Source organism: Homo sapiens, chromosome 17 (genome assembly GCF_000001405.40).
Source record: "Homo sapiens chromosome 17, GRCh38.p14 Primary Assembly".
NCBI classification, from domain to species: domain Eukaryota; kingdom Metazoa; phylum Chordata; class Mammalia; order Primates; family Hominidae; genus Homo; species Homo sapiens.
The window spans coordinates 65,885,779-65,903,156 of NC_000017.11; the positions used below are offsets into that span (position 1 = coordinate 65,885,779).

General features: G+C 36.5%; 1 protein-coding gene and 1 long non-coding RNA gene across 23 annotated transcripts in view; one reads left to right on the top strand and one right to left on the bottom strand.

Moving 5' to 3' along the window:
- CEP112 (centrosomal protein 112) overlaps positions 1 to 17,378 on the bottom strand; it is a 556,597-nt gene that overhangs the window by 250,242 nt on the left and 288,977 nt on the right. For 21 of the 22 annotated variants that reach the window (XR_007065281.1, XR_007065280.1, XR_007065282.1 and 18 more), the window contains one exon: positions 16,374 to 16,556. Coding sequence is in view for 19 of the 22 variants with exons in the window: in NM_001353128.2 (NP_001340057.1) it covers positions 16,374 to 16,556 (183 nt within the window). In the remaining 3 variants the exon portion in view is untranslated. Of the gene's footprint in view, positions 1 to 7,747; positions 8,368 to 16,373; positions 16,557 to 17,378 lie in introns of those variants that run through there. The other variant, XM_006721744.4, reaches the window with a different exon arrangement.
- LOC105371867 (uncharacterized) overlaps positions 1 to 17,378 on the top strand; it is a 34,476-nt gene that overhangs the window by 6,454 nt on the left and 10,644 nt on the right. Inside the window, exon 2 of the long non-coding RNA XR_001752977.3 lies at positions 4,368 to 4,543. This is a non-coding gene — a long non-coding RNA (uncharacterized LOC105371867). The remainder of the gene's footprint in view (positions 1 to 4,367; positions 4,544 to 17,378) is intronic.

Genomic DNA, 17,378 nt, shown 5'->3' on the forward strand with positions numbered 1-17,378 from the left:
TTGAATACAAATCAGACAGCACAGCTTTAAATCTGTGTTGCAGCTCTCATTTCCAATTCGAGAACTGTACTATAATCATAAGCTTCTGGTGGATGAAAGGAAATCAGCTCTCTGAATATTAGCTAATGCCACATTTGCAAGTCCTGAAGAGATCTGTGCTGTTAAAAAAAATAGATCATTTCACGTGAACCTATATATATGAATTGCTTTGTACTGCTCAACTGATAGAAGCAATGCCTGTGCTGGGATTAAACCCTTTTCATCATAAAACCTCATCTGGTTCGGAGTCCAAGTCCATCAAACCTTTTCCCTTTAAAGTCCCGCCTTTGGTTCCACATCAATTTATTCAAACCGCAGCTGGGTGGCTGAAAACGAAAGGACAGCATCATTTAAACCAACCATGTTCCTAACTTGAAAGAGGGGCTATAATTAAAAAAATGGGCATAAAAGAATGGAAATGGGATAATATTTTTTAATGGTAGTTCAAAGGCTGACAGATGTCAGAGCCTTTGAAGATGTCAGTACACTGAGTAAGAAGTTGCCATAAAAGAGCTTGCCAGAGAGGTGAAGCAGCTTTTTAATGGCTAAAAAAACCCTTGCAGACACATCCTTGTGTTTTTAATTTGTCAGAGTTTCTGCAGTATTTTCTGATTAATGACACATGATTATAACGGCATAGCAGGCATATTTTTATACTTGGTTAAATGAATAGTTTATTTCACATTCTTTTAGAGCTAGATAAGAATAGGGACACTTTCCTAGGAAGTCCAAAACTATTCTGATTGATTGACATATTTATGCTAATTTTGTGGGACTGGCCCAATTCGGAATTACTATATGTTGCCAGCTTTTGTTCTTTAATAGTCTGTTTGCTAATAACATTACAATTCACATGTGGTAGTTAAAATGCAATTCACTACAGTTTCATTCTTTTCATGTACATGGAACAATATGTGCCTGAATAATTAATTTGTGCACCAAGTCATGTCAAACCAAATTAATGTTTTAAGACATTCCTGAGCTCAATCTACACAACCGCGGGCTGCCATAGGGTTCAGAAGAGAAAGGGTTGCTTAGGGGAAAAAAATGCAGCTATAACTATAATATAACATTAATGCTTACTCAAAAAAACGAGCTGGAATACTATGTGCAAAATGCTGGGGGACACTCTTCTAAGATTTGGGGGAGGGACTTAGAGTATTTCCAAACTATATGCCCTTCTAAATAGTTCTAACATGTCAATTTGATTTGTTCTGTGAAATTGCCCTCACAATATTCATGAATGTTAACCACAAGTCTCTAGTGAGTAGTAGCAAGAAAAAAAAAACAGGTTTCCCCACCAATGGATATGCCTGTAACTTATAACCATGATGAGGTGCAGGGGAGACAGAGTTCATGGCTTTGAAGTGAGACACATTCGGGTTCACATCCTAGCCCTTGCACTTCAGAGCTGCATAGCTTGGGTCTGTCTTCCCACCTGTAAAAACTGAGACAATACATAAGTGCCTCCTCCCAGAAAGCATGTGAAGGTGTCTAGCACGTAATATTGTTCCTTTCTCAAACTACATGATATACAGAAAATTTTAAATTAGGCCATTTTCTGATTGAAAATGTTTATATATCACAAAATCACATTTTAATGAGAATAACCATTCTTTTAAAAGTGGATGTTGACATTTCCCACCGCTTCAGGACCAATAGATTTTAAGTACTGTCTCCATCCTTATGTTGTAATCTTATATGACCATGACTGGTCAAACCTGCAAGCATACACCTGTTTGTGTCTGACATCTAACCTTCAGCCCAGTGCTACAAGCACACCCATGGAAGCAGCTCAGCAAATGCGGTGCTAGGGCTCAGGCAGGGATGCAGGAGAGAGATAATATTCTCACGCAAGATCAGGCAAGAGACCTAGGAAGCAGAGAGGTGGAGTAGGCAGTGCCCCCAACCCAGAGAGAGCAGATCTTGCAGCAGGCAGGAGCCCTGCAGCCTGATCCTGAAGAAGCTGACCTGCAGTCCTCTTGCCACCCCTCAGGCTTTCTCTGGAAACAGGAGCATCTTGGGGTTTACCTTCCTCATGGAGGGGGTGTTTCCTCTTTCAGGTCTCTATGTGACTATAGTTTTGTATCACTAACACTGGGGACAATTTCAAAGCAGGTAAAGTTTGCCTTAAGCGTCTTTCTACCCCCTTGTTTGCACTTCCCTGTTTTTTTTCTTGCCTTGCTCCAACCCACCTCCAGATGTCCACGTCTTCCAAAAACTCCCCCAGGGCATCCCACCAGGAGGTTATCTTCCGGCAATATCACTCTTCCTTCTCCCTTTACAGTCTTTCCATACATCAGAACTCCCATTTCTTGAGTGTAATGGATTTCAGCTTGATGAGAGCAATTTAATTAGAAATAATTTCACAATATGGTACGTACAATAGCTATTTTCCTGCCCAATTCAATGTTGTTCAGATCTTCCCTTTGCTATGAAGACTCCCCCGTTTCCTTCAGGCAATCAGTCTTCTGGCTTGGGGTACAGGGCAGATAGCCTTTATCCTACTTATCATGCTACATCCACTTGCTAAATTTTCTGCTAAGAATCCTTGCAGGGGAGGCCTTTGTCTTGTTTTTGTATACCTCCTCTTAGCGCAGTGACTGCTACACAAAGGTGTTCAACAAATGAAGGAACAAAGAGATCAATGAAAGAAGATTCAATTTCATCTTTAAGATGATCTTTTTTTTTTACCATATATCATTATTCATTTAAGTTTTAATACTGTTCAGGAATTATCTATTCAGGTATCCATTTTACTGTATATATTTATCCATTTTGAATTTTGGAATGCATTCATGAGTTACTTATTCAAGGCAAATGCATTAAATTAAAATCAAGAAAAGGGCAAGCAAGAGACAGAATGTTACTCAGCCCAAACAAATTCTACTTAGAGATACTTCAAGCAATGTAATGGACAGATTCCGGGCACAGTAAAGTATGTGGGGTAGGAGCATTCTTAAAACCGAGTGACTCAGTCTAGGAATCTGGGCATTTTAGAGGAGCTTCCATGCAGCTTGTGGTTGGAAGCTCCTTATCTCCCATTAGCTGATCCAAGATATGTTCTCCCGCTGATCAGCTCCTCAAACTCTTGGCTCTTAGATAGGCCCAGGCAAAACCTATTCCTTTTTTCCTGTCAGAATTGAGTTTGTGCTTCATTGGGTGATCCTGCCAGTTAATCCCTGCTTCCCTAGGTGAGGCGTGAAGGCTTTCTTAGTACCTAATTGGCAAAGTTCTCTGTGGACATGAAACCTTACTGGTCTCAGGAGCAACCATAGGACTGGAGATGCTGGACTGGTTGGGTGTTGTATTGATCCTCCCCATATCACTAAACAAGCCCGGTTTACTGCTGCCTGAAAATCATGCCTGTGTCTGTCAGTAATGGCCCGAGTTGCTTCCTTCAACTGGATCTCGTTTTCCACCTCTAAAATGGACTCCCTGATCTCACAGCCCACAACCACTTCAGAATTAGGTGAGAAACAGCCAGTGTTCATGGACTGCTGTTCATTTGGTGTAGTAGTCCATTTATGTATAACCACAATTCACAACTCGAGAAAATAAACTAATATTGACAGGGTTATTCAGAAGCATTTGCCCATTCCAAATTCTCACAATAATCCACGAGTTAGGTATTATTGTTACTTTTTTCCTGGCTCATGAAATACCACTTTCTCATGGTTCCCTGCCTCTCTCTCTTGACCTACCTTCCCACTTTCTTAGTCTTCTTGTCCAGCTCTATTTCCTTCACCTTCTCTTTAAGCAGTGTGTCTCTTCTTCTAATTCTCTTTCCCTCCATAGGAGATCTCATCTTCACTGTTGGTATCCATTACCCTCCATGCTCATGATTCTTTAATCTTATTTTCAATAGAGATGGAGAGCTGTCCTTTGAAGTCAGTCCTATACTTCTGCTTGCTTAAGTAGCATCAACACATAAACGTCCTACAGCATGTCAAACCATAACTCAAGGTCTGCTCTCTCTCCCTCACTGCCACATCAACTTTCCCCATTGTCACTGCCTTGGCTAAGGCCCTCATCATCTCTCGCGAGGGTGACTCTAACTAGTCACCCAGGCTCCAGTCTCACTGCCTGCTAATTCTTCATCTTCTGCTTAAAATTCTGCAGTGACTTTCGATTGTTGACAGTTATGGTCTCTAAACTTTTTTGAGACACTCCTATCATAAAATATACAGTGCGCGTATATATATAAATTTGTAACACTATTAATATGTTAAATACATTATACAAATTTGCACAAAGTAAGTATTTTTAAAGACAAAATTCAAACACACATTAACAGAAGTTCTGGGTTTTTTCTTTCTATACCCTAGTGAACCCCACTTGGGAGAACACTGCTCTAAATAATTACTAAGTGGGATAATAAGTGTAACAAGTGGAATATTAAAGTGGAGGAATGGTAGAGGCATTGCAGATGGCAGCACAGACAGTATAAACCACAAACTGGAGATCACTGGCCAAGCGGACCCAGTCCGAACTTCTCAACATGGTACGTGTTCTTCATATATTAATCATGCTACTCTTTCTGTTTAGAATGCTTTTTCCATTCTAATTTGCAGAGAACATTTCAGTCATTTTTTAAAACTCAAAGCATCTGATGTCTACTCTAATGGAACCTCTTCTGATGACCTCCTCAGACCTGATGCCCCCACATCCCATAACTTCCATCTCTACTTTTCTTGGGATCAAAGCTTCATTATGACTTTGTTGTACTTTGCTGTAACTCTGGCAGGCCTGAAGGGTAAGTACGCTAGAGTAGGCCGCAGAATATAACCTTCTATTTCCATACTCCCTCTGTCATTCTCAGAAAGATGCTGGCATTGTCACCAGTTACATACCTGGTGGACAGGCAGGTGTACAGTCAATGTTTCTAGACAGTAGAAATGGACCAAGGGGATATTAATCTCCTTCCATACCAAAGAATGGTAAAGAACATTCCTTAAAGGGCCTGATTAAATCATCACAACAATCCGGTGATATCATCAGCAAAGGGTGCCTTCATAACAATGTGCGAGCGAGGGGAGCTTGTCCTTCTGACCAGGGTTATTGTTACTGTGTCTCCTATACCACGCAGCCTTTGATGTGTGGTAAGATGCGTCCTCTGTCTACGTTAAAGGAAGACATTCTTTACTCATATCTGTTGGTATGAATTATAGTATTCTCCATTTATGACAGATGCACAATGCCTGTTTCCCCATAGACTGTAAGCTTGAGGGAGAAACCATTCCTTTTTTATATACGTAGGTCCGGCATAGGGGCCTGGCTCATAGTAGGAGCTCAATGAATGCCACTAAATGAATGAATGGATATCACAGGTGTGGAAAATGATGATTGGGGGTATTAAGGTAATTAGCTAATATGAACTCAGGTTTATAGAGCCAGTAAATGATAGAGACTGGCCATGAACCAGCATCTCTATCTTAATATTCAATAAGAAATTGGTAATTGCATCTGGGCCCATGCTTTAATTATTATCTATATGCTCAGTTCGCATCTCTGGAATCTCAACCTGCATATCCAACTCGCTGTCTGACACACTTCCCTCTGGATGTTTAACATGCAGCTCACACTTAGCTTGGCAACAAAAGACCTCTTGCTTTTGCTTCTGTTCCCCGGCAATCTTCCTCGTATTTGACACCACCATCTATACAGCTGCTCAAACCAAAACTCTAGGAGTTACTCGTACTTCTTCTTCCCCTCATTCCCCACACCCAACCCATCTGCAAGTCCTGCTGCCTCACATACGCATGCCATATTGGCATCTAGGACTGTTCACAAACAGAGCGATCTGTAAAAAACATGAATCAAATCATGTCACCTTACTGCTTACAGCCTCTGTCTTCCCATCACATTTAAAATGCAATTCAAACTCTTCACCAGGGCTTAAAAAGCCCTGTGTCTGCTACTCCCTGCCCCCTTTCTCATACCTGCTATGCTCATGCCAGACAGGTCTCCTTTTTCATTTCAAGAACACACAAAACTTATTTTCCTACAGGGTCTCTGCACCAATTGTTGCCTCAGTCTGGCTGGCTTCTTATCAATCAGATCTTAAATGAGATATCTTTTCTTTGGAGAGGCGTTCTCTGATGGCCAGCTAACACAATTGTCACTGTATCATATCTCTCAATTTTAATTCTCCACCTACAAGTTATTGCTATGTGATACTCTCCTTGTTAATTTGGTTTTTGTCTTATGATCTGTCTTCCCCAATGCAACTGTAATTTCCTTTAGAGCAGAGTACTGGTCTATCTTGCACTGGGTACAGGAATACCCTTACGGCCATATAGGCCATGCCCTGTACAACTCTGGGGCAACATTCACATAAATCAGGATGTGAAAGGCACCTCCTAAAGGTGTGCATGCCCAGCCCTAGGGCCCGGCACAGGGTAAGCACTCCAAAATTCTTAATGAAATGAAGTTGAAAAAAGTTAATGTCTGCCTCATTTTTGGCCAGCAAACTTACATGGAAATAAATTTGATTTACATATTATCTGAAGGGTCATAATTATAAAATGTCCAAGTCACAGAGTTCCATGTTTTTCTATATTAATTTGAAACAATGAGATCTCAAAAAGCAATCAAAACAGTTAACAATAATTATGATTTTTCTTGAGATTTACTCTACTACTCTTGTTCCTGAATTGAATAATGTTTTTACGAAACACCAACATTATGGCAGTAGATGATGATTTTTTTTTTTTATTGTGTGCCACTAGAAATGGTTAGAGAGGTGACATCACAGGAGCGCATTTCCAAATTTTGCCCCAAGTCTGAAACATCTATGTACAGTCCGGGCTTTAACAGGGGAGCCTGGAACACACTGCAGCTCTTGAACTCATGGCATTTGTCTAACGACAGCTTTGGCAGTAATTGGTGGATAAGCAGTAATTGGTGGATAATTGAAGAGCAAAAGTTTTCAACCCTCACACTCCACTTCTCTTGTTGTGCCTGTCAATGTCACTATAACTGGAGCTATCATTTTAGCCAACAAGTGAGGATAACATTTACATTTCAAAAAATTAGCTTTTCAGGAAACATTTGGTGAACACATGCATTTTGTACATTAAATGACATCTTTGAAAATAACGAAATAAGTAAGGTCCCACTTGACCCTAGGGATCTGGGGTTTGTTTTCGTAATAAATACTGACTTAAGGAGCAAACTTAAGATGAATGAATCACCACTTTAATTTTAACCTTTTTAAAGACCTGCGACTTTCAGGTCTTTCCACTGGAAAATCCCCTTGTTTTAAGATGGTGGGCCTGGCTGAACTACTGGATCTCTGTTCACTGAAGGCTCTTCTGTATCACAGAGCCACAGTTATCCAGTGAAACGACACACACACTCCTCGAGACTAGTGCAGCATTACAACTGTCCCTACAAACAAGGGAAGAGACCTAGATCCAGGTCACATCATTCAGCACACTTCAATCTCTGAGGACACCATTAACTCATATTCAAATGTGACTAATACTTTCAGTATTACTTGACTAATACTTGACTTCATACCTAAGCAAAACAAATAAAAATAAACCAGAAAAATAACACATTTTCAAACCCTGGAAGTCTAATTGTGTATTGTTTCTTTGTGATTTCTTATGATTTTTCCCAACCTCCCAATAAACAAATATCCAAAAGCACTCAAGAGATCAAGACGTAATTTAAAATAATTATTAAAACAAGTGAAAAAGTATAATTTTCCTTGAATTTTAATATTTGTTTCAACTAAAAAACATTATCTCAAGTTGCACACTAACCTACTGATTCAATACTTGGGGGCTCAATTCAGCCCATTTTTATTATCTAAAACTTTCTACTTAATGACAATATTTATAAAATATTTTCTGTACACAAATATTACAATAGTTCGAAAACAGACCATTATTTTCATACAGTGCTGTGTTCTCTTCTCCAAATAGGCATTTAAGGTCTCCCTGACACCAATTTGTGACATTTTTGTCATGAAAAAAGCTCAGGTGTTAAATATCTTTCATATCATGCAAGTAGGCATGATTCCAATTAGTCCTGAATGGGAGACAAAATGACAGTTTAATAAGCTTCAATTTGCCAGCTCTTTGAACATTTGATGATATCACCATTTTGCCCATCATTTCTTGCACTTTGGCTTCAACCTCTCTGTCACAAAAAATTACCACAAATATACAAATGAAGACATCAGGGATGTCTCTTACAGAACCGATTGAGTCAGAAATCCAAAAATGACTTTTCCAAGACATTAAGGAAGAAGAGTTATTCATCCAATACTTTCTCAGAGATAATTTCTGCCAATATTCCTAGTAATTTCTTCGAGGCCTAGGTGAAAAGGAGAAGGAAGAGTAATATGCTAAAAATAACTCAAGGCATATTTCCTTATGTCAATGGAAATGACATTCTGCATGCAGAATAATGCTTTTTCTCTGGAGTATTTATTTTAGAAAAGAATTCATCTTAAAAGTCTTTACTTTGAGCAAAATAGCTCTAGGATGAAGCTAACACTGCATCAACATAAATTGTTTTTGAGGAGTCTAGAAGAAACACATTTTCTAATTATACCCTTGTATCGGTATGAAAAAATCTCCAGGTTTGAACTTCATAATCCTTGACCTCATTTCTAAGTGGCTTTTATTGGATTCTGTCATGCAATAGGATCCTCATTCAGGTTCCTTTAGGAAAAAAATACTAACAAACATTGAACTCTGAGAGTTAAAATTTCATTCTATAAAATGAATGGATCATATGTAATATTCCAAATTAGTATGTGAATATAACAAATATCCACAGATCATAAACCATTCACAAAAAAACCATACCTTACCACTACTAAATGCAAATTCCTACGCTGTTTTTATCAAGACTGGTAGGCCTCATTGACCTAAAAACTTGGTGGATTCTTACTCTGGGCACTCCTTCTTATTTCAGCAATAATGTGAAACCAAAAGTGAACCCATTTCAAAATGTACTCACTACTCACTGTTCTATTCTACAAATTCTGAAACTTGTTGGAAGAAACTATATTCCGAAGAAAATATTAAGGATTGCATATCTCTTTAGAGTTTAATTTACCTCAAAAGAAAGACATAGTCATGGCTTGTGGTCTTGGAGAAAGAGTGAAACTACCGGCTAATACTTGATTTGGATATATGTAGTTTGAATTATGACTATCAGTATTTTAAATCTATTAAGGTAGTGACAATCCAAAATTAGCAATATAATGGATTTATGCAGAATAAATAAAATTCAGAGACAATGTGCTCATACACTAGCAGGCATATGGGGTAGAGGACTTTGCTATGAGTTGGGCAATTTATTTATGCTTTCTGAATCTTTCTTCATTGGTAAAATGAAAATACATATAGTCATCTTCTGACCCAGGTAAAAAGATCAAAACAGAGTTTCTAGATAGGAAATGTCATCCTCATAAGGTATTAAAGGGTTGCATAAGAGAATGCAATGCAAAGGACCCAGCAGAGAGCTTGGCACATGGAAAGCACACCATAAATACTTGTTGTTGTTGTTGTTGTTGCTGTTGCTACTGCTGCTGTTAAACACATACAAACATAAAAACTCAGTGTTGTTGGAGGAGCTACTACATACTCAAACTGGATATCAAGCAGCATTATTCAAGCATTATTATGACTTTGAAGCAACATTAAATATGGCAAATCGCTGAAAGAAATGCAAACTGCTATGAGAAGCTCAGCAGGGGAGCAGAGTACCAGTGTCTCTCTCTCCCACACCAGGCAAAGATTCCTATATAATCCTGTTCCTTTTTTGCCATGTCCAAGTCTCTCCAAAAATCTAAAATCTTTCTTGGAGGAAACTATGATAGAAAGAGCACTAAATTCAGATTAAGAAGCCCTGGTTTGCTAGTTCTGTGACCTTAGGCAAGAGATTGTCCTTGAATCATAGGTTTCTTATCTGTAAATGGAATACAGTTGGATGTGGTCATCTCTTTAGATTACTTTATCTGACTATCCTACTGCTAGATACTTACACACCTGATATAACTAAAGGCTTCATGTTGGCAGAACATATGGTATACAATGACTTGTGGTCCCTTGCAACCCTCCCAGTTCTCACCACTGCAGTGATCATATTTTACTCCCTATTTAAAATCTCTTCCATATTTAATTACCTCTTCTTCAAGAACAATTTTAATATTTCTAAAGAAATCCATTAAATATAATGAGAACAAAAGATAGATTTTTAAAACAATCATTATTAGTTGACACAAAGTTACTAATGCAAATGGAATACTTTATGGTATTATTTAGAAGGTTTGTCTTTAAAAGAAATGCTCCCTATCTAAAAGTGGACCAAATACCACAGAATGTAGTTTCCATGGTAACTGCCACATTTTAAAAATATGCACAGGACTAAAGATACACTGTATCTTCTACAAATGGATCATTCTTAGAGCAATCATTTTTCTTGCCTCATCTTGTATTTTTTGCTTTTTAAACAATATAATTTTCTCCATGATGAGGGCAAAGTTAAATTGTTTATAATAGTTTAATCACAGGTATATATACACTAGTTTTATGCCTTCAGGATGAAAACAATTACAGAACTTTAGAATTATAATAGAAAAAGAAAGCTGGTGACCTACACAAAATGTAAGCTTTACTTAAAGCAGCATTTTCCTATATTTTCTGCTAACTAAATACTTAAGAAATAGTATTATTTTACTTATTAATTTGTATAGTAATATATAAATAATGCAAATTTATTATTAAATTCACATGTAATACTAAATAGACACAACATTATTGCATACTAATGAAACATGATTTTCACATCAGTGCATCCAAGCCAAAATATGCTGAGAATTTTTGCCCCCTCTATTTGGAAAATTCTGTATGACCTATGCTTTTGGTGTCAGAAAAACAGCATCTCCCCCACACACTTTTTTAAATGGCCTAGTTATGAAAAACTCTATCAATATTTTGAATATATACAGAAAGTTCCTGGGCTATCTTAAATACGGCACTTAGATAATATGATAAAACTTCATCTAAAGAAAATAGAGAATTGTAATGTGTGGTTTTACCAGGAGTCCACCAAAAGTATCTTATTTTCTTTTTACAAAATTAAAGTGAAATAATAAAAACTTTTCCCACCAACCTTCTAATGCCTAACATTAAACTTTGTACATTGCAGTAAAGCCCACTTAATACTTAAAACACACTCTGCCCTCTCTAATACAAATAACTCAGTCCATCAGGGGATGAGTAGCACAGCTTGGTGTGTACACAGCTGGAACACCAGGCCACCACTCTGATGTGACCATGTGTGTCACTAGGGAGAAGAGGGGAACAAAAAACAGGGTTACATTAACAGCAACAGCTTCATTAGGCTGGGGGAAAAATAGAGTTTACATAGCTTGGTTTTTCCAAGCAATCAGTCCAGTTTGATCCAAAGAAACAAAAATATATACTACCTCAGGACCAAGCAAATGGCATTAATGGATAAATATTAGTGATGAAATACTATTTTGGTTATGCAGGTAGGATATGAATCATTTTAATACAGGTGTAAGTATCTTTTACTCTTGGAGTGAATTATCATTTGATTTTATAATTTCTTTTTATAGTTTTTCATAACAAATTCAGAGACAAGAAAATCAGATATAAGAAAGAGATAATAACACTTGGAAATTAATATTAGGCATTAACTCCTAAATAATTTCTAATCTCAGCTATGTTTCTAATTTCTACTTCCTAAAGACACTTTGTAAGTATTCCTGGCACAGTGATGAAACAACTGTCCTAGAATTTGCTAGGCTGTGACTTAAAATATACTTTCTTATGACTCATAATATCTACAAAATTATATTTCTTAAAGCACTTTGTTTTTTGATTTGAGAATAATAATATTCTCAATAAATTAAAATGAAATTTTAGCACATTAAAATAAAATCTAGTAATTACATTTTATGAAAGTACTAAAGAATCTAAAGTTTCCCCACCAGATTTTATTTCCAATGTTTTAACATATGGAAAATATCATCAATTATATTGGTCAATGTCCTTTATATTAAGTCTAATGGCATAAATTTCTCTCAGAACTGAGAACTAGAAAAAAAAGAACTGCTATGATTTTTGTCATTACATAATTAGAATTATACAATTCACAGCAAAGTTTCCCTCTTTGCTGTGGCTTCCAGGCAAGCGCAGAGCTAAAATTTCCGCTTAACTGTAATATTTTTTCTTCAGTATAGATTTTCTAATGTGGTGAATATAATTTATTGCTTAATTATTTTCAGTTATTTTAAGTGTATGTTTATTATAAAATGCTGCTTTAGATCCTTTTGATAGTAGCTGGCATATAAAAAAATTAAAATGTTTTCACTAGAAAAATGCTACCAAAGACCAAAAGCCATGTATGTAGGTATAACAAGAACATTCAGACTATACATATTGTTAAATTTACCCTTCGAGTAATCTTTAAAGAATGATAGCCAATGTTCAAGCCCCTGGATGCAGGCACACACTCAGTTTATAAATGGAGATTTTTATCTTGGGCCCAAATTTGCAAATGCATGGAAAATCAGGTAATGCAACTGAGATACAATTTTTAAAATTAAAATTGTCCTATCAATATCTTTCCAGGAAAACTTTTTTCTAAGTAGAAAAGAATTATTACAAATTCTACATTTCGGAATCAGTGATAAGTTCAGCTCTTAATGTGAATCACTATGGCAAAATCAAGATAATCTGTCCATTTATTATGTAAAAATTGTTCATATTAGATTTATGATGCTCAGTGTAGGGAATTAAGAAAGGCATTTGGGTGCCAATGTTTTGCAAGAGCCACTGTACTATATGCAAATGCTAAATTCAATATATTTTTCAGATATGGCTGATGACCTTCTGCAAGGTTGCTGCATTTAATTTGCATGATACTGATGGTGATGCACAATGGCTGCTGGTTACCCTAGGTGCCTAAATGTCTCTACTGCAACAGGTCACAGAGTGGTCCTAAGATGGTGACGCCACCTCTGGGGAGAATCACAAAGGTTCTATGCAACAATCTCTACGGTAGTCACACACACCACTCACTGTGGCAACAAACGTAAAACATCAAGCAATCTCTAAATGGTTCAGGGCCCTAAAAAGACAAGTAAGGGATCAAGGAACCTATGTTCTATTTTTCCTCTAATTCAACAGGATAAACTATAGAAATTCTTTCATTATATTATAGTTCAAAAGCAAAATAAGAATTACATGTAGAACTTCCATGTCAGAAGAAGCTAAGATTATATTTATAAATTTTCTTCATATTAAAATATGATTGAATCAATGAGATCATTCTCCAAAATAATTTCAATAAGAGAGACCTGGTAAATGAGAAATATTCGACAATGAGGTTATGAATTTCTACAAGTCTTGATTTCTACCAGTCTGAATGCTTTTTCTTAAACATATGACCTTAGATAGATACCAGACTGAACATCTTGTATGATGGTGGTAAAATTTAATGTGCACATTAGCAAATTTAAGTATCAAAATATAATATATCCTGCCATTGAAAATCAAAGTACTATAACAAAAATATAATATAGACAAAATAATTACCTAACTGAACCAAATAAAATGAGGAGACTACTTCATTGTTCTTGGTGCATTTCTATGTCTTATCATTGCTCTTTAAAACAGAAATTATTAGAATAACAACCTATAATAATTATAAAACATATTCACCAAAAGGGAGTCCCCTAGTTGGAACGATTCACCTTAAGGTTGGTAACTATACTTTATAATAATGATTTTCTAATCAGCATACAATGTACTACATATTTGGAAGAAGTCAAAAATAGATTTTAAGGAAACTGTACTCATTTAAGAATCTGGTGGAAGGGAAGAGCAAACAAAGCCATAGATTTCAAAATAGATATTTCACTGGTCCTCTTTTGGTTAAGTATTTCTAATAGCCCTTTTTACAAAATGGCCTCCATTGCTAAACTAGAATAGCCACACATTAACTGAAAATCAAATCTCTAACTGAAAATCAAATTAAAAAATTATACAATCTAATATTTAATACGTTTGTTCTGCATCAAACTACAACACAGTGATTTGAAAAAGATCTATTTTGAAAATTATATGCCTACTTTGTTTCCTTGAAATTTGTGAATGAATTTAGAACTTAAAAGGTATTATACATTACATTATTTAGACCACAACCATGAAGAGATAGATTTTGAAAATTTAAGACTTACCTGAAGGAAACTTTGAATTAATATCCTCAGTAAATAACCAAAGATAAATACAAATTATGAGTATTTTGGTACACATGATAAGATTTTTTAAAGTACAGCTCATTGCTAAAACTTTAAAAAATTGTATTCTCTAAGAACGACTAAGTACAACATACACAAAATTATTTTCCTTTTGAGCAAGAATGCATTTAGCCTGTTTCCATTGCTTACTGGCATTCCCTTGACAGCAATTCCAATTAGTAAAACGTTCCAAGAAAGACACGAAATATGAGAAATACAATCCTAAATTACAGCATTTGAGGAGGTCATATAGTCCTCATACTTAATGTTTCAATAGGAAGAAATTCAATTAATAGCCTCATTGTACTATCCCTGTGGCTTTATTATACGTAATAGAACTAAAATTTCCCTTTTGTTATGATTGGATGAACCGCACCCTATATGGCAGACACGACTCATGCAAAATCACAAAGGTTCCCTCTAAATTTGGCCTCCACTTGTATCGGCTTCCCATAGCAGCCCCCAAATAATAGGAAGTTATGCAAATTAGTGTATTTTATTTTATCCATTATACAATTCTACTATGCAAACAAATCCTACACTGACTCAGAACCCATATCTCTTACCATGGGAAAACAATGGTAAGGTTTAACATCATATTTGAAAGAGAATATGAACTAGACAATATTCCTAATAAATTGAATGGCTAAGAGTCAAAACACCAGCATATATTTCATAAAGGCTCTAATGAGGCTGGTGGCAAAAATATAATACACGATGATTTAACAGGAACCACCTAAGTATTCTCGTACCATGGGCACTACAATGACTACCTTTTTAGGTAGCAAGCCAGCGTAAAACAAGTTGAAAATAATTGTACTGTAAATGTATACCATTGACAACAAAACCTGTGCTGTGTATATTCATATTGCATCAGTTATTCTCTGAATATAGAAGACAACTCAAGGTCAAATGAAAAATAACCAATAACTCCTATTCTTTGCCTTACCACCTCCCGCTGTCCACTCAAAAAAATTAACATCTTACTTAATTAGTAGTGTGTTTATGTTTAGATAATCACAAGATTGTTGAAAGACATAATATAACAGAAGGTTTGTTTTGTTTGAAAATTATATTATTTGCGGAGGAAGAATAACTACAGGAAGAAGCTTGTGTGGTGTGGTTAGCATGGTTAGATTTCAATGGGAAAAGGGGTATTTAGACCTAGTATACAATATGTTTTTATTAGAAAAGAACATTATCTTTTTATTGTTATCAATTGCTCTTAAATTTTTCTTTAATGCAATTTCACAGCAATCTCAAGAGGATACACTAAAGGCCCTTGATTATATATACTCTACAGAATGTATTGTATCACAAAGATACACATCCAATAAGATTTCTTTTTTCATCTGAAATTTATAAAGATAATTTTCCATGCTGACAGTGCACATTTCATCCACAAGTTTGAGGAGTCAAATGCTACCACAGCTGGGGGTTATTCTGCCAAATGGCTTCCAACAGGGACTACAGAGATGTGGGCTAGGAGGCATGTGTGTGTGCAGGAAAAAGCAACAGACCTGATGGGAAATAGCCCTTCTCTGGAGTCATTTTTATCAATTACCATCTGAGTGATCTAATCAAATATAGTCTAATGAAAACAGCAACACTAGGAAGGAAAAGCAAATATTAAAACAGCTGCTTGATTACCTACAGAGATTAAAACAAAAAGCAAGGAGTGAGGCTGATATATTTCATAGGGATTTGCTAAGGCTGAAGGGAGGGGTAAGGGGCAGATACCTTAAAAAAATCCATCATGAAAGGAACTGAGACAAGATCATAAAAAAGGGGGCCAAGTTATAGCGCGCCATGGGATTTTTAATCTGGCTACCTGTGGTTTCTGTAGTTAAGGCTTTATTCATCCCAAAACGGGGGGGGGGGGGGGTGGGGGGGAGAAAAACAAAAAAAAAATCACATTTATATGTCAGTTTTGCAAATGATCAAACAGCGTGCATCAATAAGAATAATAAGAAAACATTAAACGCTGATGACTTTTTAAAAACAGATACCCGTTTTATCAAATATTATTGATAATTACCTGTGCATCTCGTTTCTTGAACTCCTGAATTTGATTTTCGTGCTCCATATTGGCAGCGCGAAGCTGTTTTTCCAGGTTTTCAATTTCCCGTTCATGGTCTCGGACTAGGCTATCCTTCTCTGCGTTATGCTGCTGTAATAGGTGCGTCTTCTCCTGTTCATGCTCCAGCTTCAGCTCTACTATCTGATTGGACAATGAGGAGGACAGTTCATCAACAGAACATCCTTGTCGTCATGACAACTCATGTACAGCTTAATTTTTCTCTAATTTGTCCAAGTTGAAAATTTTTATTTTTACATCATTATTACCTCACCCTCGAAATACTCTCATTTGTTGGGGTGGTGGTTATGCAAACCTCCTAATATTCAAAATAGTTGGGCATATTCAGTAAATCCTTCTTCAATCTGTTGACACAAATGTCTGAACATTGAAAAAAATTATCTCGAATGCTAGTCACTTCCTCCCCAAGAATTCGGGTATTACTGATCAGCAATGGTTATAAATGGTTAATAGTACGCTTTGCTTTTTGCTTAAATATACACATGTAAAAAGCAGCAATTAAATCGGTCAGCTTTCTTCATGATTTACAAATAAAAGATCGGAGCTAAATATGCATCTGGATTCTTGTATATACAGTTGTCTTTTAAAAAATAAAATGATAAATTTCAAAGCTCTATTATCTCGTTGTCAGCTACGGTATACCAACATAAACAGATGTTATGTGTTCCAGAAGGGCACCTGCTGTGCTGCAAGCTTGCGCCATGATTTCATAAAGAGCATTCTATTCTCAGGATCCTTTCCCAGTCCACTCCACACTGGAGACTGTGACCTTGGCCAGTCTTAGCCTCTCCCCGCTAGACTGAATGGCAGCCCGAGACCAAGGCCTGGTTGCCGCAGCTTTGATACTAATCCTCCCAGACTGTGCACAATGGCACCCTACCTGGCCTGCAAACTATAGCCAGCCAGGCTGTCTTTGAAGCAGGTGATGAATAGGGGACGGCAGGA